The sequence below is a fragment of the Homo sapiens genome, chromosome 6 (assembly GCF_000001405.40).
Source record: "Homo sapiens chromosome 6, GRCh38.p14 Primary Assembly".
In the NCBI taxonomy this organism is placed as follows: domain Eukaryota; kingdom Metazoa; phylum Chordata; class Mammalia; order Primates; family Hominidae; genus Homo; species Homo sapiens.
Window position 1 is genome coordinate 160,102,029 of NC_000006.12, and position 25,340 is coordinate 160,127,368.

The following is a 25,340-nucleotide window of genomic DNA, read 5'->3' on the forward strand; positions in this document are numbered from 1 at the left end:
CCCCGTCCTGGCCTGTTTCTAAGGCCCCCTGGGCCCCTTTCGTGTGGAGATGGTGTCTCATGGTGGGCTGCGCTCACTGCTTCCAGAAGAAATTCTGAGAGGAAAGAGCTCTGACCCTGGAGAGAAGTGTGGTGCTTCGGGACAGCCTCTGCCCCAGCCTAGTCCTGCCGTGGATTGGGCCACCTAGAGGGGGCCGCGTCCCTCCTGCCTGTCTCCTCTGTGTTTGGGTGAATGATAGTTCATGGAGCTGGAAGCAGTGCCTTCTTGTCTGCTTTCTGACAACCCTGCCACAAACTCATCATCAGGAACTTTTTGCAGCCCTCTTCCATGTGGAGTGGGACTTGTGGCCTTGTTTTCTGGGCAGGAGTAAGAATCACATGGTGTTGGGAAAGTCAGAGCTGCTCTTGCCTTGGGGACTCAGGTCTCAGGTTGTGGCTGTGGCAGCAGGACCACCCTGTGACACGGCTCCTTTTCTGTGACGTCCTTGCAGGGTGGGCTTTGACAGCGAGAATCCCGGGGACGACGGGCAGATGCACAAGGGGCTGTCAGAACGGAGCCAGGCAGTCGGCGCGGTGCTCAGCCTGCTGCTGGTGGCGCTCACCTGCTGCCTGCTGGCCCTGTTGCTCTACAAGAAGGAGAGGAGGTAAGCGGGTGGCAGGGCGAGGTGGGGCGGGTGGATGCATGCCTCCCATAGCTAATCTTGGGGTCAGTTTTGTGGGGTTTTATTTATTTGTTTTTAAGCCCTACAGCAGCGAAGGCTCGAGGTTCTTAGTCCAAAACTCTCTGGAAGCAGTCCCCAGCGTTGTGGTTTTTAAATGCCTGCATTTCTGTCTGACCAAGGCCGAGGCCCTCGCACATCACCCGTGCCTGCGGCTTCTAGGACCGTGGTCCTTTGTGTCCAAAGATGAGTAGAACATTAAACGGCACCTTTCATGGGTGCCTTTTCCCACTGAGCAGCTGACCCCTCTGCCCTCCTCACATCATAAATGCAGGAGTTTATTAAGCGCCTGCTATGTACCAGGTATGATGCCATCCTTTTGCGCCACTTTGCTGGGTGAAAGGACTCTCCATGTGACGGTCAAGCAGATTTTCACGTCAGGCGTCAGTGTTAGTGGCTCTGACCTGGGGGCAGGAGCTGGCCAGCTCAGGCGTTCCCTGCTGCCACTGTCATTTGCCAGCTGAGCCACAGGCCAATGAGAGAGGTGGTCAGAAAGTACCAACCATGGAGGTTGCAGTGAGCCAAGATCTCACCACTGCACTCTAGCCTGGGCAACACAGTGAGACTCTGTCCAAAAAAAAAAAAAAAGTACCGATTGTGGCCCTCTACACCCAAAATGCAGAATGGGGCAGAAGAAGGTCTGGGCCGGGAAGGGCATGTGATGTCTGTCTCTGCGAGCCACCATTGGGCAGGCTTAGTGGCGACGGACTGGTGTGGTCCTGTTAGTCATGTGAAAAAGTCCTTGCCCTAATGTTAAGTTGCTCTAGAGGGCCCTCTGCTGTTGGATTCCAAAGCCCATCTTCTTTCCACTCAATCACAACAAATACATTAGGGTATATATAACCTGTCACGGCTACTCATTTGTCATTCAGAATGTGGGAGAAATGCAGCCACCACCAGCCCCCTGGTGGTGCAGATGGGGGTGGGGCTGGCGGGGGTGGGGCTCCTGCCCATGCCCTCTCTACACTGGAGTAATTATTGTCTCCTTTTTTTTTATAGGGAAACAGTGATAAGTAAGCTGACCACTTGCTGTAGGAGAAGTTCCAACGTGTCCTACAAATACTCAAAGGTAATTTTCTGTGGCGAGTCTCTTGAAGGCCTGCCTCCCCGGCCCCCTGTGCTGCGCTGTCCATGTCGTTCTCATCAGGGGTGCCAAGGAAAGCAGTCACAGGCTGACTGGAATCCAGAAAGGAAAGCAACACCCGTTGCCTCAGCCACTTACGCCAGCACATTTTTTTGTTATTTTTTTCCCTCAAGTTTCTCTCGTGGTTACAACTGATTTCCTTGAAGTATTTAATAATTAGGTTGTTTCCACTGTTTTTGGCTGTTCTTTAAAAAAAAAACAAAACACACACACACACAGTAGTGAAGATAGTTGTGCATGTAGCATTTGGATGATTTCTTTCAGGTAAATTTGCAGAAAAGAGGCATTATCTGGATCAAAGGACATAATGTTTGTGGTCTCGATGGGTAATGATGAATTGCTCTCTAAAACTAGGCTTTTGACTGGAGTCCCTCCTTTGACATTCCTCCCCTGCCATGCAGTGGGCACCTTTCAGTCTATGAGTAGCCCGGAAGAGCCCCTTCTCCCCCAGCTGCGCTGGGGGATCACTGGTCTGCTTTTCGGTCCAGGCCATCCCGAACGCCTTCTGCTTGGTCCCACCCTTGGCTGTGAGACTCCTGCCAAATGACCCCACTGCCACCCTCCCAAACCCTCCTGCCTTGGTGCAGTCTCATTAGGAACAGGAAGGTGTTGCCAGCCCTCGTCTTCCTTTCCCTGGGAACTGGAGATGCAGTGACTGTGAGGACAGTGGGCCAGTTCTTCCCCAGCTCGTGCCAGCAGAGAGCATCCCTGATGTGGTGGATGGTGGAGCAGAATGGGGTCTCTTAGGGGGCTCACGTGGTCTCTGCTGTTGATCCCTGGCAGGTGAATAAGGAAGAAGAGACAGATGAGAATGAAACAGAGTGGCTGATGGAAGAGATCCAGCTGCCTCCTCCACGGCAGGGAAAGGAAGGGCAGGAGAACGGCCATATTACCACCAAGTCAGTGAAAGCCCTCAGCTCCCTGCATGGGGATGACCAGGACAGTGAGGATGAGGTTCTGACCATCCCAGAGGTGAAAGTTCACTCGGGCAGGGGAGCTGGGGCAGAGAGCTCCCACCCAGTGAGAAACGCACAGAGCAATGCCCTTCAGGAGCGTGAGGACGATAGGGTGGGGCTGGTCAGGGGTGAGAAGGCGAGGAAAGGGAAGTCCAGCTCTGCACAGCAGAAGACAGTGAGCTCCACCAAGCTGGTGTCCTTCCATGACGACAGCGACGAGGACCTCTTACACATCTGACTCCGCAGTGCCTGCAGGGGAGCACGGAGCCGCGGGACAGCCAAGCACCTCCAACCAAATAAGACTTCCACTCGATGATGCTTCTATAATTTTGCCTTTAACAGAAACTTTCAAAAGGGAAGAGTTTTTGTGATGGGGGAGAGGGTGAAGGAGGTCAGGCCCCACTCCTTCCTGATTGTTTACAGTCATTGGAATAAGGCATGGCTCAGATCGGCCACAGGGCGGTACCTTGTGCCCAGGGTTTTGCCCCAAGTCCTCATTTAAAAGCATAAGGCCGGACGCATCTCAAAACAGAGGGCTGCATTCGAAGAAACCCTTGCTGCTTTAGTCCCGATAGGGTATTTGACCCCGATATATTTTAGCATTTTAATTCTCTCCCCCTATTTATTGACTTTGACAATTACTCAGGTTTGAGAAAAAGGAAAAAAAAACAGCCACCGTTTCTTCCTGCCAGCAGGGGTGTGATGTACCAGTTTGTCCATCTTGAGATGGTGAGGCTGTCAGTGTATGGGGCAGCTTCCGGCGGGATGTTGAACTGGTCATTAATGTGTCCCCTGAGTTGGAGCTCATTCTGTCTCTTTTCTCTTTTGCTTTCTGTTTCTTAAGGGCACACACACGTGCGTGCGAGCACACACACACATACGTGCACAGGGTCCCCGAGTGCCTAGGTTTTGGAGAGTTTGCCTGTTCTATGCCTTTAGTCAGGAATGGCTGCACCTTTTTGCATGATATCTTCAAGCCTGGGCGTACAGAGCACATTTGTCAGTATTTTTGCCGGCTGGTGAATTCAAACAACCTGCCCAAAGATTGATTTGTGTGTTTGTGTGTGTGTGTGTGTGTGTGTGTGTGTGTGTGAGTGGAGTTGAGGTGTCAGAGAAAATGAATTTTTTCCAGATTTGGGGTATAGGTCTCATCTCTTCAGGTTCTCATGATACCACCTTTACTGTGCTTATTTTTTTAAGAAAAAAGTGTTGATCAACCATTCGACCTATAAGAAGCCTTAATTTGCACAGTGTGTGACTTACAGAAACTGCATGAAAAATCATGGGCCAGAGCCTCGGCCCTAGCATTGCACTTGGCCTCATGCTGGAGGGAGGCTGGGCGGGTACAGCGCGGAGGAGGAGGGAGGCCAGGCGGGCATGGCGTGGAGGAGGAGGGAGGCCGGGCGGTCACAGCATGGAGGAGGAGGGAGGCGCTGCTGGTGTTCTTATTCTGGCGGCAGCGCCTTTCCTGCCATGTTTAGTGAATGACTTTTCTCGCATTGTAGAATTGTATATAGACTCTGGTGTTCTATTGCTGAGAAGCAAACCGCCCTGCAGCATCCCTCAGCCTGTACCGGTTTGGCTGGCTTGTTTGATTTCAACATGAGTGTATTTTTTAAAATTGATTTTTCTCTTCATTTTTTTTTCAATCAACTTTACTGTAATATAAAGTATTCAACAATTTCAATAAAAGATAAATTATTAATTGGGTGTTACCATTTTTTCCTTGATAGTGAGACGTTCCCGAGCGAGTTACCCATCTGCCTGCCTGTCTTTTCTTTCTGTTAAGTGACTGAATTTGGGTTTTAACTCTGGTGTTCTCGTTGACCCTTTATGAGGCAGCACTTTCATTTTTCTCCAGAGTCTCCTGGTCGTAGGTGTTAACTTTGGGTCCAATCTGCCTTCCCTTGGCTCTTTCTAGATCCGATTTCTTTACCTTCTCCAGGCCAACCTCGGGGTGTGGTCCTGTTCATCAAAACAATGAACATGGAGTTTAGAGTCCAGTGAGTCAATAAAGCTTTTTTTTGTGCAACCTGATCTAACATGGAGATGTTTTCTCTTGAGTAAACTCACTGAGTTTTCCATCTTAAATTACTCAGCAGTGACTGAGAGCTACCTGCATGGAAGCAGGAAGTTACTCCAGTGTTATAAACAAACTTCTTAGACTCAACATCCTATTCTCCATCCCTTTTTTTTTCCTGTAGAGTCCAAAAACCTCAACCGTCTCATTTTTAAATTATCCAATTGGAGTTACCTTTTTAAAAAAGTTATTCTTAAGGACTTTCCAATACCTCTCCTGAGGAAGACATGTCAGGTCTTCTAAAAGTTTACATTATGACCAAAGAAAGATGCTGGTCCTCAGGCATTCTACCCAGGGGGCTGTTCTCCAGGCCATTCCCACCTCCTGCTAAGACCATGGGGAGCCCTCTCTGTAAGGAGGGGCATATGCAGGGACCTGCCCATCCCCTTGGTAAGCTGGATGGCAAAAAGGCATGTTGTCTGCACCACTGGCTGCCTGCTAATGTCGCTGTCAGTGGGGAAGGAGAAGTGACAACACGTTTGAGTGCATTTGCTTTGACTCTTAGAAACCCAAGCCTCTGAAAAAAGAGTAACTACTTGCCAGCTGTTGTTACAGATGATATTTTTAGGAAAACATCCCGTGACAGCAAATCAGAATTGGACTCTTTTTCAGAGAAATGATTTTATTGATGGAGTACAACCTGGGTATTTAGCTTCCTTTCAACAAAATTTTTTGTGCCCCTTTCTTGAGACTGTCCATGAATGACAGAGACATAGAATAAGAACTGGGGTGCTAAAGATGGAATAGGCAAACCCCACACCAAGGAAATCCACAGTGAAGTGGAAATCTGGTTCTTATGAACATTTTAAGAGCATCTGAAGCCTGTACTTCACCAACCCTAAAATAATACGTAACACGAGATGATTCCTCAGGAAGGAACATATAGACATACAGACAGGAGACAACATATAGACATTAGAACTTACAGGACAAAGAACTCTTTTTCCCTGAATCATTTGAGATGAAGTTTCTTCCCATCACCAGGCATTCCTACAAACAAGGACCTTCACACGACTAAGATGCCACCTGGTGATTAAAGAACACTTTGGGCTGGTCCGATCCATTGTACAAGTTAAAGCACTGATGGGTACACAGGTCTTACCCCTGTTGGCGATCGGGTCACAAGGAGCCAGTGTGTGTGTCACCAGGAGGTTGTATGGACGAGACTGGATTTCTGGAAATATCCTTTACTGACTCTGAAGAATCCCATGGCTCAGGGAGGTACACTCATGTCCTTTCTTACTTCTCCGGTTCCACTCTGTTGACTAGTAGTTGGCCTCTTGAGCCATACTTGCTGTCAGTTCTGGACATTGTTCTGTGAGAATGGGGTCAACGGGCAGTCGTGGTGCAGGTGAGCTTGTGTGCAAGGCGGCAAGATAGCCACATTGAGTTGGGGACAGTATGGCCTGGGGGTGTTGGATAGGTAAGGCAGAAGCAAGCCCAGAACTTGGAGCCTGTTGTGACTGTCACAGTAAGGAGTTTGAAGTCCTGAAAGCAGTTGAGAGCTGTAGGAGGGCCAGATTGGGCTTTTGAGCAAGATAGTCTAGATGAAAGTAAAGAGATGGAGACGCTTCAGCAACCAGATGGGAGGTTGGGCATGGGAGCTGTGGCTGTGCTGAGCTGAGAAGCCTCAGACTGCCTGCGAGGCTCTCTCTGGGAGGAAGTCAGGTCTTTCTTTCCTTCGTTTCCTTCCTTTCATTCCTTTCCTTTCCTTCCTTTTTCCTCTTTCTTTCTTTCCTTTTCTCTCTCTCTCTTTTTCTTTCTCTCTTTCTTTCGAGATGGAGTCTCGCTCTGTTGCCAGGCTGGAGTGCAGTGGCATGATCTCGGCTCACTGCAATCTCTGCCTCCCGGGTTCAAGGGATTCTCCTGCCTCAGCCTCCCTAGTAGCTGGGATTAAAGGCACGCACTGCCACGCCCGGCTAATTTTTGTATTTTTAATAGCGACAGGGTTTCACCGTGTTGGCCAGGATGGTCTCGATCTCCTGACCTCATGATCCACCTGCCTCGGCCTCCGAAAGTGCTGGGATTACAGGCGTGAGCCACCGTGCCCAGCCAGGTCTTTTTCTTAAAGAGGGACAGACTGAAGGTAGGCTGTGAATGGTCAGTTATTTGTATTTCTTTACCTTTTATGCTATCTTGTAGTTTGACCAGTTTGCAAAACAAATTGAATAAAAAGTAATTGATAATGTTGTTTTGATGCTCAGTGTTTGAGGGAAACACAATCTAGTGAATGGGGTTATTGGTTGTCACACCTGGGAGAGTGAAAATGAGGGGCTCACAACCCAGGTGAGGTCATCTGGTGCCACTCAGCCCCATCCCAGAGAAAGCAGCCTTGGGATGCTGGCCTCGGTGACAACCAAGAAGTGATGGTGGGTTGCTAGAGACAGGGTGGAGCACAGAGCCCTGGAAGGAAGCAGGAAGTCAGGTTCAAGAAAGGACTTGTGACCTCACCCTTGGCTTCAGGGTTTTATTTTTCTTTCTTTTAAAACATTTTGAGACAACATGTAGACATTCAAACTTACAGAACAAAGAACTATTTTTTCCCTGAATCATTTGAGACTAAGTTCCCTCCTATCACCAGACATTTCTACAAATGAGGACCTTCACAGGACTAAGGTGCCACCATCAGAACCACAATATGTGGGGACGGTACTGCCAGCTAAGCCTTAGTGCTGTTTCGGTGTTGACAGCTGTCACAATGATGCCCTTTTCAGTAGAGGAGCCTGTGATGGTCACGTGTTGCAGGTGATCATTGTGCCATTTGGTTTACTTCTGTCTGGAAAGTTTCTCCTTTCTGTAACCTCCATGACCTTGACACATGAGGTCACTCTTCTCACCCGCCCCACCTCTGGGAGGGTGCCTGATTTGCCCTGCCCCACCCAGCGGCTTTAGGACTCAGCTCTTCAGGAACAATTAGGGAGAGGGCCCTTGGGTCTAACTGCAAAATCATACTTGAACTAGAAAATCCCGTTGGCATAGGTATGGATTGTCATATAGAAACATTTTTCGCAGTGTGCCCCGTGGAACACTTGTTCTGTATGTTGTTAACAGATGTTTTGCAAAAAATGAAAAGGACCTGAGCTCTAATAAGTTTGGGAAATGCTGAATTGAAGTGAAACAGCTTTTCTTGGTGTGAGACCTTTCAGAGTCTTTAAAGGAGAGTTGCTGACCACACGTGAAATCACAATAGAAAATGGCCAGCAGGCCTCCAGGTAGGCAGCAATTCCTAGACATTTGCCTGTGTTCCCTGGGGGAGCTGGTGGCCTGTGACCATCCACTGGGAAATTCCCTTCTGTGGCGAGGTTCTGTTGTTTTCCAGAGGCTCCCACGGAGCATGCTGGGTGGGTGGTCTGTATGAGACCACACCGTTGATGAGCAGTGAGGCCCAAACAGGTATATCAAAAAATGCTCAGCATCGCTGATCATCAGGGAAATGCACATCATAAACACAGTGAGACGTTGCCTCACACCTGCCAGAATGGCTACTGTCAGACGAAAGACAACAAGTGTGGGTGAGGATGTGGAGAAAAGCGAACACTTGTCCACCTTTGGTGAGAATGTAAATTGGTATAGCCATTATGGAAAACAGGAAGTTCCTGAAAAAATTAAGAACAGCTACCAGGAATCCCACATCTGGGTGTATATCCAAAAGAAATGAAGTCAGTACCTTGAAGAGATCTCTGCAGCCCCTGTTCATTGCAGCATTATTCACAATAGCCAAGATAGGGAAAAAGCCTCAGTGTCTACTGACAAATAAAGATGGATCAAGAAAATGCATGTATGTATACACACACACAGTGGAATACCAAGTCTTGCAGAAGAAGGAAATCCTGTCATTTGTGACAACATGGATGAGCTGAGAGAACATTATGCTAAGTGAAATAAGCCAGACACAGAAAGAAAAATACCAGATGATCTCACTTATATGTGGAATCTAAAAAGGTTGGACTCAGAAGCAGAGAGTGGAATGGTGGTTACCAAAGGCCAGAGGGTGCAGGAAGTGAGCAGATGTTGGTGAAAGGGTGCAGAGGTTCAGCTATGCAACATGAATGAATTCTGGAGATCCACTGTGCAGCATGGTGACTATGATACTGCTTTGTGTATTTAAAATTTTCAGAGAGTAGATCTTGTGTTCTTTCCCCTCTCCAAATAAAAGGAAATTATTTGAGGTGATGGATATGTTTAACTAGCTTGACTGGGGCAATGATTTTGTAATGATAAGTATCTCAAAACATCATGTTGTACAACATAAGTATACAATTGACCCTTGAACAATACAGGTTTGAACTCTGTGGGTCCACTTACATGCGGTTTTTTTTTTCTGTAAAAGTTACACCCGATGCGTCAGCCCCTTCTTCTACCTCTTCCACCTCTGGCACCCTTGGCACAGCAAGACCAACCCCCCACTTCCTCCTCCTCCTCCTCAGCCTACTCAGGGTAAAGACAAGGATGAAGACCTTTATGATGATCCACTTCCACTTAATATATAATAAATATATTTTCTCCTCATGATTTTCTTAAAACTTTTTCTGTATTTTATTGTAAGAATACAGTATATAATACATACAACATCGAAAATATGTGTTAATTGACTCTGTTATTGGTAAGGCTTCTGGTCAACAGTAGGCAATACTAGTTGTTAAGTTTTAGGGGAGTTAAAGTTCTATGTGGGTTTTCGATTGTGTGTGGGGTCTGTGCTCCTAATCCCTGGGTTATTCAAGGTTATTCTACATAATTTTTCTGTCCGTTACACCTCAGTAAAGCTGGATAAAAGCGAAAACCAAAAGACTACGAAGGCTAGGAGAAAATCAGTACATGCCACTCCAGCCCCCATTCTCCCCAGAAGCAGTCCCCACTTCTTCCCCTCAGCTTTGTCCCCTGTCAGTTTAAAATCATGAGGTTCATAAATTTGAAAAGGAAAGCTTTATTTCTTGTAAAGGGTCTCAGCCTGCAAAATCGCCATCCTGGCAGGCTGGGAAGTGTATCCAGCAGAGACCAAAGGCAGGTACTTGGAGACGGGGAAGGATGAGGCAGGAATTTATGCTGAATGGGTTGGCCAAGCATACATATTCAACAGGTGATGGGGGGAGCTATGAATATTCATGACAGGGGGACATGCACATGCATTGTAAACATTCCTGTTACATACGCCCCATGATCACTTTGGGGTGGAGACTTAACATTTAAATGCATTTCAATTAGGACTTATGTGTCAAAAGGTGAAGCAGGGACATGAACGCCCTCAGTGCATGCCTGGGCAAACTAGACAACCAGTCCATGCTTGGTGGTCTTTTACCAGGAGAAAGTCCCTGAAATCAGGCTCTTGTTAAAGCTGTAGTTACAGCTGGTGGAGAAGGGGGTCAGTTAGTCTGCATCTGGCCATAGGTGGTGAGCTGAAATTGTTGCCGTATTGCTGATCTCCAGGCCCCTGCTTATTTAGCTGCCAGAGAAAAAGAAAACAAAACAAAACTTTGTGGCAGTTAGAACCTAGTTTATTTTTTAAGTGCCTGACTTAACTCTTGCCTGGCATGGCCATAGGTCATGTTTATAATTTGGCATCTTACTTCCACAAAGAGTCTGTTCTGTCGTGTTATGATCTGTAATTTTAACACCACCAACAGACTTCTCTCTCCTTCAGGTCAAATTCTCCAAGTTAACCTTAGCATTGATGCAGCTGAAATACTGGAGCCATTGAACGGACACTTCTGACCTGTTCCTACACTATCCTCCCACCTTTGGGTGCTGAGGTAGATTGCTATGGGTTGAACTATATTCCCCAAAATTCACATGTTGAACTCCTAACCCCAGTACTTCAGAATGTGACCTTATTTGGAGATAGTGTCTTTAAAGAGATAATTAAGTTAAAATGAGATCATATGAATGGGATGTAATTTAATATATGTGTCTTTATAAGATGAGGAGATTAGGACGCAGACTCACACAGAGGCATGGCCAACTGGAAGCCAAGGAGAGAGGCCTCAGAAGAAAGCAAACCTGCCCACACCTGGATCTCAAACTCCCAGCCTCCAGAAGTATGAGAACACAAATTGTTTAAACTACACAGTCCATGGTACTTTATGGCAGCCTAAGCAAACTAGCCCAGACACACTCAGCAACCTTCCCACTGCCAGTCACACGATGCGCGCACATACATGCTGGGCACTCCCCAAGGCCCTGTGCCTCTGGGAGAGTACGCAGAACCCCATGTCATGATTCCTCCCATCGGAGCTGAAGGAAGCCAGAACATGCTGACCTGCAACATGCTACTTTAGCCTAAGGATTATTTGGCACTGGAGGCAGTTAAGAAGCAGCAAATGTATTTGCCTAAAAGCAAGACATACATTTTTCAAAAGTGTCTCTCCTTCCCTCTCTGAACAAGAGTTAATCACAAAGACAGCTCCAGACACCGCTCAGCTTGGAGATGGCAGCAGAGGTGTTCACGTAACCATCCTCACTAACTCGCCTTCTCTACCCCAACCTTTCCACTTGGTGCAGACGCCTTCCTGCAGCGCCGTCTCTGGAAGCTTGAAGTCACTTTCCTGTGTCCCAGCATTTCTCTACAAATAAATTGTTCTTAGTGAAGATGGTACGTATGCCAGAGCGTGAAGCCTATCTTTCAATTGCTGTTTCCTGAATTTCTCTCATGTCTATATGAGATGTACATGCTAGAAACTTGTTTTTCTCTTATTAATCTTTTAATTTTTTTTTATAGGGGCCCCAGCAGAAAACTTAGAAGAGTACACAGAATAGGATTTTTTCCTTCTTTACAAAGTTCCGTGTAGGAAGGCATGAGCATTTCTCTTCCTATCACAAGTGTCCATGCCATGGTGTGTCCGGAATTGGTGGGTTCTTGGTCTCACTGACTTCAAGAATGAAGCCGCGGACCCTCGCGGTGAGTGTTACAGCTCTTAAGGTGGCGAGTCTGGAGTTTGTTCCTTCTGATGTTGGGATGTGTTCGGAGTTTCTTCCTTCTGGTGGATTCGTGGTCTCGCTGGCTCAGGAGTGAAGCTGCAGACCTTCGCGGTGAGTGTTACAGCTCTTAAAAGCAGTGTGGACCCAAAGAGTGAGCAGTAGCAAGATTTATTGCAAAGAGCGAAATAACAAAGCTTCCACAGTGTGGAAGGGGACCCGAGCGGGTTACCACTGCTGACTAGGGCAGCCTGCTTTTATTCTCTTATCTGGCCCCACCCACATCCTGCTGATTGGTAGAGCTGAGTGGTCTGTTTTGACAGGGCGCTGATTGGTGCGTTTACAATCCCAGAGCTAGACACAAAGGTTCTCCACGTCCCCACCAGATTAGCTAGATACAGAGTGTGGACACAAAGGTTCTCCAAGGCCCCACCAGAGTAACTAGATACAGAGTGTCCATTGGTGCATTCACAAACCCTGAGCTAGACACAGGGTGCTGACTGGTGTGTTTACAAACCTTGAGCTAGAGACAGAGTGCCGATTGGTGTATTTACAATCCCTGAGCAACATAAAGGTTCTCCATTTCCCCACCAGACTCAGGAGCCCAGCTGGCTTCACCCAGTGGATCCCACACCGGGGCTGCAGGTGGAGCTGCCATGCGCCCGCACTCCTCAGCCCTTGGGTGGTCGATGGGACTGGGCTCCGTGGAGCAGGGGGTGGTGCTCATCCGGGAGGCTCAGGCCGCACAGGAGCCCAGGGAGGGGGTGGGAGCCTCAGGCATGGCCGGCTGCAGGTCCTGAGCCCTTCCCGGCGGGAAGGCAGCTAAGGCCCGGCGAGAAATCGAGCGCAGCGCCGGTGGGCTGGCACTGCTGGGGGACCCGGTACACCCTCCGCAGCTGCTGGCCCGGGTGCTAAGCCCCTCATTGCCCGGGCCGGCAGGGCCGGCCGGCTGCTCTGAGTGCGGGGTCTGCCAAGCCCACGCCCACCCGGAATTCCAGCTGGCCCGCAAGTGCCGCGCGCAGCCCCAGTTCCCGCTCGCGCCTCTCCCTCCACACCTCCCTGCAAGCTGAGGGAGCTGGCTCTGGCCTTGGCCAGCCCAGAAAGGGGCTCCCACAGTGCAGTGGTGGGCTGAAGGGCTCCTCAAGTGCCACCAAAGTGGGAGCCCGGGCAGAGGAGGTGCCGAGAGCGAGCGAGGGCTGTGAGGACTGCCAGCACGCTGTCACCTCTCAATGGTACCTGGGCTAAAATAGACATTCAGGACCATGTTTTTGAACAGTTAGGAAAATGAGTGGATTTTCTGCATCAAATTTTCAGTAGTTCCCAGGAACAGTTAGCATAATGGGCCACAAGGGCATGCAGGGTGGTGAGTGGATGTGGTGGGGGCCGCCTGGATGACAGGCCTGGCCTGGGGCTCCTCATGGCCGGAAGTCAGCCTCCCTGTGTTAGCTCTGCCCGCAGGTCCTGGGCCTCATCTCTGGATTTGTTTGGGAGGGCTGCCATAATAAAGTACCACAGACTAGGGGCTTCAACAACAGAAATGTATGTCTTCCAGTTCTGGAGGCTGGGAGTCCAACATCAAGGTGTTGGCAGGGTTGATTCCTTCTGAGACTGTGAGGGAGAATCTGTTCCAGGTTCCTAGGAGCACAGCGTTCCCCTTCTGACAGGCACAAAGCAGGAAACAGCCAACCCTGGGGGCCTGTTGAGGAGGACAGAAGCCTAGGACACACTGCGGGGCCCTGAGCACAGCCCCATGGGGAGGGGAGTGGCAGGAGCAGGAGTTTCCACCCCAGGCAGCTGCCCCCTCTGCACCTGGGACCATCGGGTGGGCAGCAGGCCCAGTGCCCAGTGACTGACTTGCTCATTCATGGCTGATTTTCTCACACATATGTGCTTCCCCAGACCTCCATCATGGCCCTTGGGGCCAGGACTGGTCTGCCCTGTGTGCTGACAGCCACTTCACTGGCAGGTACCTGGATTCATGTACAAATCTGGGCCTAAACCCAGCTCTTGCCTTCTCTCTGTTTCCAGGTGAGACCTGCCTCTGCTCCGGCTCTGGCAGCTGGCTTGATCCCCTTCTCCTCCCTGGCCTTAGGGGGCACTGAGACCTAGGACAGATGAGATGCCCACCTGGAGTTTGTGTCTAGTTGGACATTAGGTGAATAGGATTTCAGCATAGGGAGTTTTGGAAAATCAGTCCCTGGTGACAGGGCTTTGAGTGAGTTGATTTATTAAGACTTGACATAGAGCCAGGCATGTGATTCTGGGCAGATGACTTGCCCCCTTAGGCCTTCGTTTCTCATTTCTCATCTGCAGTACGTGGGGGTGAGCAGTTCCATCAGATCAGGAGACGGGGCTCAGAAGGAGCCCGGCCTGCCATCCTAGATGCTCAGGATGGTGGCAACGGCTTGTTCTCAGTTGGCCATGGCCCTCAGTCCCATCTCCCCTTTGCAATTTTGATTGCCTGGGATGTCTGGTCATCCCCTCATGGACCCAAACCATGGGGCTGGGAGACAGTGGAAAAGGAAGGATGCAGGGGTGGGTACAGGCTCCCTTGCTCCCTAGTCCAAGCCAAAGAAAGGAGGCCTGAGTCCATTGAGCACCCAGAGTTGGGGGCAGCTGCTTTCTCCATGAAACAGGTGAGCAGTGGCACCAGGCTTGGCCTGGACAGGCCACTGGGGAGGTGGTACCACAGAGGGGCCTGGTTTCTCCTCAAAGTGTGCTGAAAGTGGGCCCCTTGCACCCTGGCTGCTTCCCATCCACATGCAGGACACTCGTGTCAGGGTTGTGGGCACAACAGGGCCAGCACTGAGTGTGCGCCACCACCTTCCTCTGGGCTGGGGAGTGTCTGCCTCTGGCCCACCTCCCTCCTGCCCAGGGCATGCTCAGCCTTCTGGGTGGCAGCCCCCTTGAGCCCTCTCTTGGCAGCAGCTGAGCATTTCCAAAGAAGAAAACCCCCCAGGAGTGGGAATTATGGAGCTGCAGCCCCCAAGGTGGGGCATGCTTTTGACCAAATCAGCCAGTGGGTCTACTGGGCTTGAGGCTCAGCTGAGAGTCTCAGAAATCCAGAGTATGCCTGACACCATGGGCCTCTGTTTATCTGTACTTCTATGTGCATGTGGAGGGGCTCACCCCCAATGCCACATGCACTCCTAGGTCTGAAAATGGGGGAGGGATGGGGTGTTTTCCACCTTGCGCCACTTTGATGCCTTCCATCAGCAACTCTGAGCCAGAGCCTACTGGGGCATTACCCCTGTGCAGAGGTAACTCCCTGGCCCAGGTTCCCTAGGAACTTGGGCTATTGCACCATCAGCGAGGAGTCTGCCCAGGGGAGGGGAGGCAGTGAGTGGCACCTGTAGGAGCTCGGGTAGGTTCTGGAGAGCACAGCCATCTGGGTCATTGACAAGGTGCAGGCAATGGGCCTGCTGGAGAGTGCTGGGCTGCTCAGTGTGGGGCAGGGAGGAGCCCTGCAGCTGCTCTGGGATTCCCAGGAGCCTGAAGCTTTCTTGTCTGTTGCCGTGACACCATGTCACCACAAACTGAGCTGCGTAAAGCATGCACACTCCATGTCTCCTGGGCTCTGTGGTCAGGAGGGTAGCTGCAGGGCAGCTGGATGTTACATTCAAGGTGTTAGCTGCAGTGGTGGCCTCGTCTCAAGGCTCATCTGGAGAAAGATTTGATTTGGAGCTCAAGTGGATATCGGCAGGATTCATTCTGTCCCACTTCAGGACCAAGGGTCTTGGTTTCCCGCTGGTTGCCAGCTGAAGGTACCCACAGCTCCTTGCCATGTGGGCCTCCACCACAGGGCCAGGGCTCCATCACAGCCAGCAGGGGAGAGAGACTCTCAGCCATGTGGATGTTACAATCTTAAGGAGCATGATCATGGAGGTGTCATCCGTGACACTTGCCATTTCCATTGGTTACAGGCAAGTCACAGGTTCTGCACACTCAGCTGAGAGGTGAGGATATGTGGGCCACTGGACAGCCAGTCTGCTACACCCTCTGGTCTTCTTTCTTGTCTCCTGCTCTTCCCTCCACCTTGTAAGGCACTTTTTGGATGGTAGGACTGGTTTTGGGGTCCTGTGGTGCCCCATGCCTGCTGCTGTCCCAGCTTTGGTGACTGTCTCTTTGTTACAGGACCTTTGAGGTGTCAATTTTCTGGCTGGAAACCTCTGTGGTCACGGTGCCTTTGCATGAGCTCTTGTCCTGCGTCCAGGAAGAATAAGGGACATAGACAAGTGAAGGGTGAGCAAGACGAAGATGAGCTCTATTGAGTGTTACAACAGCTCAGAGGACACCTGCATTGGGTAGCTCCTCTTCTAGGCAGGTCATCTGTCGAGTGTTCAGTTCTCAGTAGAGAGGAGGCCCAGGAGAGGTAGCTCCTCTCTGCAACTGGTCATCCTGATGTTTGCAGCTCTCAGCAGAGAGGAAGCCCTGGAGAGGGTGGTTCCTCTCTGCCAGCAGGTTGTCGCTGCAGCTATCAGCAGAGAATGTGGCTCCTCTCTGTGGGTTGTCCCATCATCTCCAGCTATCGGCAGAGAGGGTACTCCTTTCTGCAGCTGGTTGTCCCATCATCTCTCTGCCCTCTTCATCCTCTAGCTATCCTCTGCCCTGCTCTGGCTGAGTCCAGGGCTTTTATGGACCTCAGAAGGGAGGAAGTGCATGCCAGTTGTTCTGTGGGTGGCCATGGGTGGGTTAGGAAGAGGCACCACAAGTCCCCACTCTGGTTTCCGGGACTGGCAGCCCAGGCCCCAGCCTTCAGGCCCTTCTTGGCCTGAAGGTGGGCCTTACTAGGGACACACCTCCTTCTTCCCAGGACTCTGTCTGCCTCCTGCTGCCATTCATGGCCCCAGGTCTCAACCCCAACCCTGCTCTGAGATCGGAGCAGGTGCTGGGATGGGAGAGGGGCCAGGCAGTGGGAGCAGACTCTTCTGAGCCTGGGATGGGGACTAGTGGGGAGGCCTTCCCAGGCCCCTGAGGTTGCAGGCTGCAGAGATGCCCAGGTCTTGTGCCTGGGAGGGCAGCCACAGCTGCATCCACGGAACTCCCACCCTGCCAACTCAGAAGGGGTGGGGTTCCTGCTTGTCCCTGGCTCCTGCCTGCTCTGTGGAGTGAGAGGCCCAGGTCTGCAGCCACAGGTCAGGTGGTTGCAGCTGCATCCAGGCAGGCAGATCTGGCCTGCTGCTGGCCCCCTCCAAGAGCACAAGGAGGCTTGGATCCACAGTCCCAGGAGGGTGGGGCTTCCATCAGCTCCGTGGAGTGTTCAGCCCCAGCCACGCCTCCCTGCTGCTGCCATCATTTCCCCCTCTGAAGAGGTACACCTAACTGCTGTTAGGGTAGGGACAATGACCACTCTTAACTGCTTCGTGCTGACCAGGGATATTGTTTTGGGAAAACAACAGTCAAGTCTCTCTCAGAGACCTATCTAAGAATATCCAGTACAAGGCAGCCATCATCTGAGGCTCCATTTTCATGACCATTTGGAGTTTAACGGCCCATCCCTTGTTTCTTCTGAGCTGTAGTCAGATATCACTAGTTGGTTCACCTTCACAATTGTCAAAAGCTACAAATAGCTCAAAAGAAAAGCTTCCTTGATTCTGAAAAACAAGATAAAGGATCAACAGTATTCCAAGCAAAAGGTCAAAACAAGATTGCTTCAGTCTTCTATTAGTTCAGCTCACCCAGTCAACTCCTATTCACAATCTCCAAAATTATCAGAAATCTGCATTTGAAGACTATAATCCATCCCTTGAAGAGGATCAAAACATGACAACAATTGTCTGTGAATGTCAAAATGTCCTAGCGTATTCATAGTCAAAAACACAATTGATGAAGAAATCTGGTCACCTCTGTGATTTACAATAACCTAACACAATAACCCTAGCTATGATTGATAACACAAACTCAGGCATCAGAAATCTAGAAATCCCATACAATTTTGAAACACACATTAACATTTTTCACTAAAATATAACCTGAAGATCAAACACCTTATTTTGGTAATCCTATGTAACTAAACTTGTCAAATAACCCTGTTTACCTCTCCCTTTCGATGCTCCAGGTGTCTTCTGTAGCATCCAAAACTCAGGGGTTAGGAAAGAAAATTTTGAAGCTGTAAAGGCTCAAAACACTTAACAGAATTTTTGGTTACTATAAGTCATTCATTTAAATGACTCAAAGCAAAAACCTTCAGTCACTAAGAGGGAAGACCTAATTTTCCAAACAATCTAACTTTTAACCATCGCACTCCTTTTTAAGAAGTCCTTTTAAGTCTCTTATTATCCAACTTTAGCCATGCCAAATGGCCAGTTGAATTCATGGAGGGGCAGAGAATATAGTGATTTTTTTATTGTTCCTGCAACCAGTTTGCACAGAGAGAGAAACCAAAAGTCTGACTGGTAAGAACTTTTACCCTTTCGCCAGCATGTCAGGCTGCTGAGCTCCCTTCCCCTCAGCTATGGAGCCCTATTGACCCTGGAGTCCTGTTGATCTCTTGTCCTTCCCTTCTTGTGTCAGTAGCTTATTCACAAAGAAAACAAAATCTTTCATTGCATGAAAATCTTGTTCAAGTGAAAGCCAAATTTTACCCTTACATTAGTCTATTAATGTCAACCCCAATTAAAAAAAATAAAACCTTACAGAGAAATCCATCCAATCTTAATCAGTTTGATCATGAACTGAGATTGTTATAAATCTTTTATAACCTTTTACAAATTTTTTTTGTTAAACAGCATGTAAGTGCTTCAAGAAAACCTTGTTGTGCTTGTATTCCATTGTTCAACTTATGGAAAACCAAATAATATCCTTTTTAGTGTAGTCAATATGTTTACACACAGGATTCCTTTTACAAGATTAATTTTTTACAAACCTTCCATAACTTGTTTGAACCTTAAGCTTTATCTTATATAATTTAAAACAATCATTTAACCCTCTGAACTAGGCAAAAATTTACATTCCCATGCCTTCTTATATTATTTTACTAATGATACATTTTACTCTCCTTACTCACCTCACGTGTAGATCTGTTTTCAGTAGTCATCACTACATGTTATAATGGTAGCTCTTAGTAATTGTTAATTTTGGTGAAATACCCAGTAAGTTATTTTAGTTACGTACTTAGGTGCAGATGAGGTCTAACTATTTCCAGCATAGCTAGGGCAGGCCCTACCAAACTGCAAAGCAGGAAAGTTGAACAATTTTCAAAAGCCAAAGCAGTTTATGACCTTAAAGCATTTAGTCAACCTAGTTTCTGACTTGCATAATTTAGACCATGTCTATATTTTGAAGACATTTCTATTTTCATTTTACTGATAATTTAAAAGACAGCCTATTTAGCAAAGTCATACTTAAGTGAATTTGAAAATTGCTTAGACTTATTTACTTAATTTATGAACACTCTTTTACTTATAAGCCAATTTGGTAGACACAACATATAACAGTAAGTGTACATACAAGTAAACACATCTAGACATGTATACACACACACAAATGAAGAGGTGGAGCTTAAAACACCCAAATTGGGTGCAGTGTATACTGCTTGGGAGATGGATGCACCAAAATCTCACAAATCACCACTAAAGAACCTGCTCATGTAACCAAATAATACCTGTTCCCTCAAAACCTATGGGAAAAAAAAACTAAAAAAAATACTTAAATGGTATCACAGAACTAATTAGCCGAATACAGTATCTAGTACCTGGCTGTCACCCAATACTTGCCTCATACCATCACATCTAGAAAACAAGTAGATATTCTTTTTGGAAGAGCCCTGAGGGAGCTACTAGGAGGTTTGCACGGCCTGCTCTCCTGCCCTCTTCTTGCTCTGTGGCTGAACTTCAATTCTCTTCGGGCTTAGACCCCACTGACTCGCTCCCGGGCAAAGCAAACGATTTGATCAGATGGCCACGTGCATTCTTCCTTTTCCTGAAACCAGCACCATAGGGTAAAAGATTATTTCTACTTGGTTGCCTTCCAGATGTTTCACACTTGGACAGCAAACTGATTTCAAACCACTCCTTTTCAAAGATCTCTGAGGGAGACATTGCACCTGGCCACTGCAGCCCAGAGCAGGTCTGGCCACGGCCATGAGCATGCTGAGCCATCATGCCCACCGTGGATGACATTCTGGAGCAGGTTGGGGAGTCTGGCTGGTTCCAGAAGCAAGCCTTCCTCATCTTATGCCTGCTGTCGGCTGCCTTTGCGCCCATCTGTGTGGGCATCGTCTTCCTGGGTTTCACACCTGACCACCACTGCCAGAGTCCTGGGGTGGCTGAGCTGAGCCAGCGCTGTGGCTGGAGCCCTGCGGAGGAGCTGAACTATACAGTGCCAGGCCTGGGGCCCGCGGGCGAGGCCTTCCTTGGCCAGTGCAGGCGCTATGAAGTGGACTGGAACCAGAGCGCCCTCAGCTGTGTAGACCCCCTGGCTAGCCTGGCCACCAACAGGAGCCACCTGCCGCTGGGTCCCTGCCAGGATGGCTGGGTGTATGACACGCCCGGCTCTTCCATCGTCACTGAGGTAAAAAAGCCTCTGTAACATGGGAGTTCCTGGGACAGGGAGAAATATAAAGCAAATCCTATGAAGTTCAGTTCCATATCAGGAAAGAGGTAGGGGGCTATGTTTATTGTGCAGTTCGTGGGTGTCTGGCTGTGTCCCAGGCACGGGGCATTCTCTTCTCTAGTTTAATCCACCACAAACTCTGGGTCTTTGAGGAGGAAGCTGAGGCAGGAGAGAACAGCTAGCACAAGTCGGGGGCCAGGTTGCCAGGTTGCTTGAATGGGAGTTGACTGGGAGACCAGGAGCCTCTCTGCCTGCCCCACTGGCTTCTCCCAGAACTATCAACTTGCTCTGGGTCCCGCTTCCCCACCAATAGTACTGTGGGCCCCCTCCTTCTGCTCAAGAGTGATGACGATTGACCTCAATGATGGTGTTGAGGTGGCCTGGAATTGCCCTGGCTTGGAAGTGAGAATATTTGGTGGAATCCCAGCTGTGCCCCTTATTAGCTGAGCATCACTGGGTAAGTCACTGCCTCTCTAAGCCTCATTTCCTCATCAGTCAACCAGGGATGATGACGGCTGCCTCATAGGGGTGTGAGCTTCAGCTGGGATCTGTGAAAGCACTGAGCAAATCCAAACTGAGTCACACCGTGCAGTCCGATGGGGCCCATGGGATAGGGCGATGGCCTCAAAAGGGCCTTGCTTGAGTAGTTTACTTGGTTATTTGAGCATTTTGCTTTGAGAATCCTTTAGTAAAAAGTGTCACCACATTTTTTTCCCATCATGAGCCCTTTTGAAACTATTGCACGGTAACAAGTGTGGATGCTTGGTGGGTTGGAGAAGCTGTGGGCCAAAGCCCGTCAGGGGCCTTCTGTTAGTAACGAGCAGTGGCGTGGTTTTGGTGCAGGCACTGCTTCCCTGAAATAAGAGGTAACTGGGCCCTCCCTGCCTCTGGTCCTGCCCACTTGTCTGCCCCCACTACCCTCGCCCAAGCTCTCCGGACTTCTTGGGTCTCTGTTCTTCCTCTTTTCCCTTTCCTGAGTGGTATCAGCGGTGACACATTTAGGGCTATTACTGGAGGAAAGCTTAGGGTCCCTCCCCTCTGGGCCTGAGCATTGCTCTACCTGCTTGCCTGGAGCAGAGCAGGTGCCGGTGCAACTGGCTTTACGATGCTGAAGAGACATCTTGTCTCCAAGGCATCCTCCAACAATGGATGACAAGTTAGGCAGCCCACCTTCCAGGGATCTCCAACCATCTGACATTCCCACTGGGAATCTAGAAGCAGACCAGGATGAGGATGTGTTTGCTCTCTGGGACTGAGACATACTCTGCTTTGAGGAGATCAGATGTGATCATTCCTCCAGTCAGACATCCACCCAGTATGTTCGGCATACTCCCTCTATTCTGGCACTGGGTGTGATGCCGCAGGGGAGATGCAGAAGAAGATTGTGAGGTCCCTCAAGGAGTCTGCAGTCTTGTGGGGACTGAGAGGGGAAGAGGATGGCAAGAATGAGACCAGTGTTCGTTTAATGACAGCCCAAGGCCGCCTGTGGTGAATGCCATGAGCAGGGCGGAAAGGGACTGGTGGGCTCTAAGAAGGTAGAGATCTCAGCTGCTGAGCTCTGAGCTGATCATAGACGTCTTCTGGGAGGAGGTGGCTTTGAGCTGAGCCTCAGCTGGTATTTGGACCAGCAAGGAGAGGGGACAGGTGGAGTAGAGGGGAGGGGAAGTAGATCCCCAGACCAAGGGGAGAGCTTGAGCCTAGGCTCAGGGCCCAGGGAGTGTTTGCTGCATTCAGGGTGCAAGGAGCACTGATATGAGGGTCATGATATGAGGAGTTGTGGGGAGAACACTGGTGTCTAACCTTGGGGCCAGAACACGGAGTGCTTAGTGTGGGGTTGCCAGGTACAATACAGGATGCCCAGTTAAACTCGAACATTTGAACTTCAGATAATCCAACTGGATAGGATACTTACTTCCCAGATACTGCATGATATTTGGTACTGATAACTGAGACTGGAAATGCAAATATTGCATGAACATACTTATCCTAAAAAAAAAAAAGTTGTTTATCTGAAATTCAAATTTACCTGGGCATTCTGTATTTTTATTTGTGAACCCTGGCAACGCTACCTTAGTGCCCAACAAAGGAGTTTGGGTCTTATTTAGGCAGGCAAGCAAGGTGACCCTAGCTGGACTCGTGAATGGGTGGGAAGGGGCGGTGGTGGGATTGGAGGCTTCAGGAGAGGTAGAGAGATGCATGAGGAGGCCAAGAGTGAGCCCCGGTAAGAAGTGTTGGCCAACATGGTTGTCATGGGAATGAAGGGAAGACAAGATGTAAGAGATGCCAGCATTGTCAGGGCTGGGGAGAAGGAGGCCCAGCTTGGCGGAGGGCTCTGGCTTGGGGGGTATAGGCAAATGGAGCTTCTGAACGCTGAACTGGGAGCCTTGGAGAGGCAGCCATGTGGGCAGGTAGAGGGGCCTGGTAAGAGGGGACCTTGGGGTGCAGCAGAAGTGGGGAGGCTGGGACAGAGAGGGGCCCGAGAGTGCTTTAGAACAGCTTGCCTGTCCGTGGCAGCTGTGGAGGGGGCTTCCAATAACCCCAAGATGTAGAGCCCTGGGGAGGATTGTGGGAATCCTGGAACTCTGATGGGCAGAGATGGTGAAGAGGATATGGTTTGTATTGTACCTGGCAACCCCACACTAAGCACTCCATGTTCTTTTGGGGTCGTGGTAAGTTGGGAGGGTGGTGGGATTCATGTGGAGATTTTCCAAGGTGATTGGAAGCCTGGGGGTAGGTGGGAGGGTGATAGAAACTGGCTCGTGGGTAAGAATTGTCTCCCACTTTAACCCCAACTTCCTTGGCCCCAGCTCCTCCTCCAAAACTGAAAATTATTGTTGGGGAATCAATCTTAGTTATTCATTTCTGCAGAACTAATTTTTAACCTAGCATTGCCTTGGACATTGGAACTTGCTTTAGGAGGGAAGGTGAGCTAATCTGTTCGAACGCCAAGTTTAACTCCCACTGCAAGGCTAGGTGCTAAGATCATGAGGTCCACTCGGGGGGGATGTGGGCATTTTCCTGGCTTTTGACTCTCCCAACAAGAGGATCTCCTCTGGTGCTAAGATCATGAGGTCCACTCGGGGGGGATGTGGGCATTTTCCTGACTTTTGACTCTTCCCAACAAGAGGATCTCCTCTGGTGCTAAGATCATGAGGTCCACTCAGGGAGGGATGTGGGCATTTTCCTGGCTTTTGACTCTCCCAACAAGAGGATCTCCTCTGGTGCTAAGATCACGAGGTCCACTCGGGGGGGATGTGGGCATTTTCCTGGCTTTTGACTCTCCCAACAAGAGGATCTCCTCTGGTGCTAAGATCATGAGGTCCACTCGGGGAGGATGTGGGCATTTTCCTGGCTTTTGACTCTCCCAACAAGAGGATCTCCTCTTCTGCTAAGATCATGAGGTCCACTCGGGGGGGATGTGGGCATTTTCCTGGCTTTTGACTCTCCCAACAAGAGGATCTCCTCTGGTGCTAAGATCATGAGGTCCACTCGGGGGGGATGTGGGCATTTTCCTGGCTTTTGACTCTCCCAACAAGAGGATCTCCTCTGGTGCTAAGATCACGAGGTCCACTCGGGGGGGATGTGGGCATTTTCCTGGCTTTTGACTCTCCCAACAAGAGGATCTCCTCTGGTGCTAAGATCACGAGGTCCACTCGGGGGAGATGTGGGCATTTTCCTGGCTTTTGACTCTCCCAACAAGAGGATCTCCTCTGGTGCTAAGATCATGAGGTCCACTCGGGGGGGATGTGGGCATTTTCCTGGCTTTTGACTCTCCCAACAAGAGGATCTCCTCTGGTGCTAAGATCATGAGGTCCACTCGGGGGGGATGTGGGCATTTTCCTGGCTTTTGACTCTCCCAACAAGAGGATCTCTTCTGGTGCTAAGATCATGAGGTCCACTCGGGGGGTATGTGGGCATTTTCCTGGCTTTTGACTCTCCCAACAAGAGGATCTCCTCTGGTGCTAAGATCATGAGGTCCACTTGGGGGGGATGTGGGCATTTTCCTGGCTTTTGACTCTCCCAACAAGAGGATCTCCTCTGCTGCTAAGATCATGAGGTCCACTCGGGGAGGGATGTGGGCATTTTCCTGGCTTTTGACTCTCCCAACAAGAGGATCTCCTCTGGTGCTAAGATCATGAGGTCCACTCGGGGGGTATGTGGGCATTTTCCTGGCTTTTGACTCTCCCAACAAGAGGATCTCCTCTGGTGCTAAGATCATGAGGTCCACTCGGGGGGGATGTGGGCATTTTCCTGGCTTTTGACTCTCCCAACAAGAGGATCTCCTCTGGTGCTAAGATCATGAGGTCCACTGGGGAGGGATGTGGGCAGTTTCCTGGCTTTTGACTCTCCCAACAAGAGGATCTCCTGTGGTGCTAAGATCATGAGGTCCACTCGGGGGGGATGTGGGCATTTTCCTGGCTTTTGACTCTCCCAACAAGAGGATCTCCTCTGGTGCTAAGATCATGAGGTCCACTCGGGAGGGATGTGGGCATTTTCCTGGCTTTTGACTCTCCCAACAAGAGGATCTCCTCTGGTGCTAAGATCATGAGGTCCACTCAGGGAGGGATGTGGGCATTTTCCTGGCTTTTGACTCTCCCAACAAGAGGATCTCCTCTGGTGCTAAGATCATGAGGTCCACTGGGGAGGGATGTGGGCATTTTCCTGGCTTTTGACTCTCCCAACAAGAGGATCTCCTCTGGTGCTAAGATCATGAGGTCCACTCGGGGGGGATGTGGGCATTTTCCTGGCTTTTGACTCTCCCAACAAGAGGATCTCCTCTATCAGTCTTGGTTTCAGCCACAGCCCCCACACCAGGCCAGCTGTCTTCCACCAGCCATGAGTGCTGAGCAAGGGAAAGTGGTCTCAGGCCAAGGGAGACAGAGGTAGTTACATTAGTGTTTCTCAAACTTGGCTGATCCTCAGGATCACCTGGATTCCTATTCGGGACCCACTGAGGCAGAATACACAGGGAATCTGTGG

General features: G+C 49.6%; 2 protein-coding genes and 1 long non-coding RNA gene across 6 annotated transcripts in view, besides 1 other annotated feature; 2 read left to right on the plus strand and 1 right to left on the minus strand.

The window, feature by feature from the left end:
• IGF2R (insulin like growth factor 2 receptor) overlaps positions 1 to 9,476 on the plus strand; it is a 142,423-nt gene extending 132,947 nt beyond the window's left edge. The window contains exons 46-48 of the mRNA NM_000876.4: positions 491 to 643; positions 1,718 to 1,787; positions 2,646 to 9,476. Coding sequence (NP_000867.3) covers positions 491 to 643; positions 1,718 to 1,787; positions 2,646 to 3,056 — 634 coding nt within the window. The 3' untranslated portion in view covers positions 3,057 to 9,476. The remainder of the gene's footprint in view (positions 1 to 490; positions 644 to 1,717; positions 1,788 to 2,645) is intronic.
• Positions 9,678 to 10,266: an enhancer, noted in NCBI's record as "OCT4-NANOG hESC enhancer chr6:160532738-160533326 (GRCh37/hg19 assembly coordinates)". NCBI's record gives its function as "activates a minimal SCP1, AML or CMV promoter by ChIP-STARR-seq in naive H9 embryonic stem cells {active_cell/tissue: H9 hESC(naive)}" and the evidence as "EXISTENCE:reporter gene assay evidence [ECO:0000049][PMID:30033119]".
• Positions 14,018 to 19,667, minus strand: LOC124901452 (uncharacterized). The gene is made up of 2 exons (XR_007059842.1): positions 18,814 to 19,667; positions 14,018 to 17,401 (listed from the first exon to the last, which is right to left on the minus strand). It is a non-coding gene; the product is annotated as an uncharacterized LOC124901452 (long non-coding RNA).
• Positions 19,668 to 19,786: 119 nt separating this feature from the next.
• SLC22A1 (solute carrier family 22 member 1) overlaps positions 19,787 to 25,340 on the plus strand; it is a 36,904-nt gene continuing 31,350 nt past the window's right edge. For all 4 annotated transcript variants that reach the window (XM_005267103.3, NM_003057.3, NM_153187.2 and 1 more), the window contains exon 1: positions 19,787 to 20,318. In XM_005267103.3, coding sequence (XP_005267160.1) covers positions 19,908 to 20,318 — 411 coding nt within the window. In that variant the 5' untranslated portion in view covers positions 19,787 to 19,907. The remainder of the gene's footprint in view (positions 20,319 to 25,340) is intronic.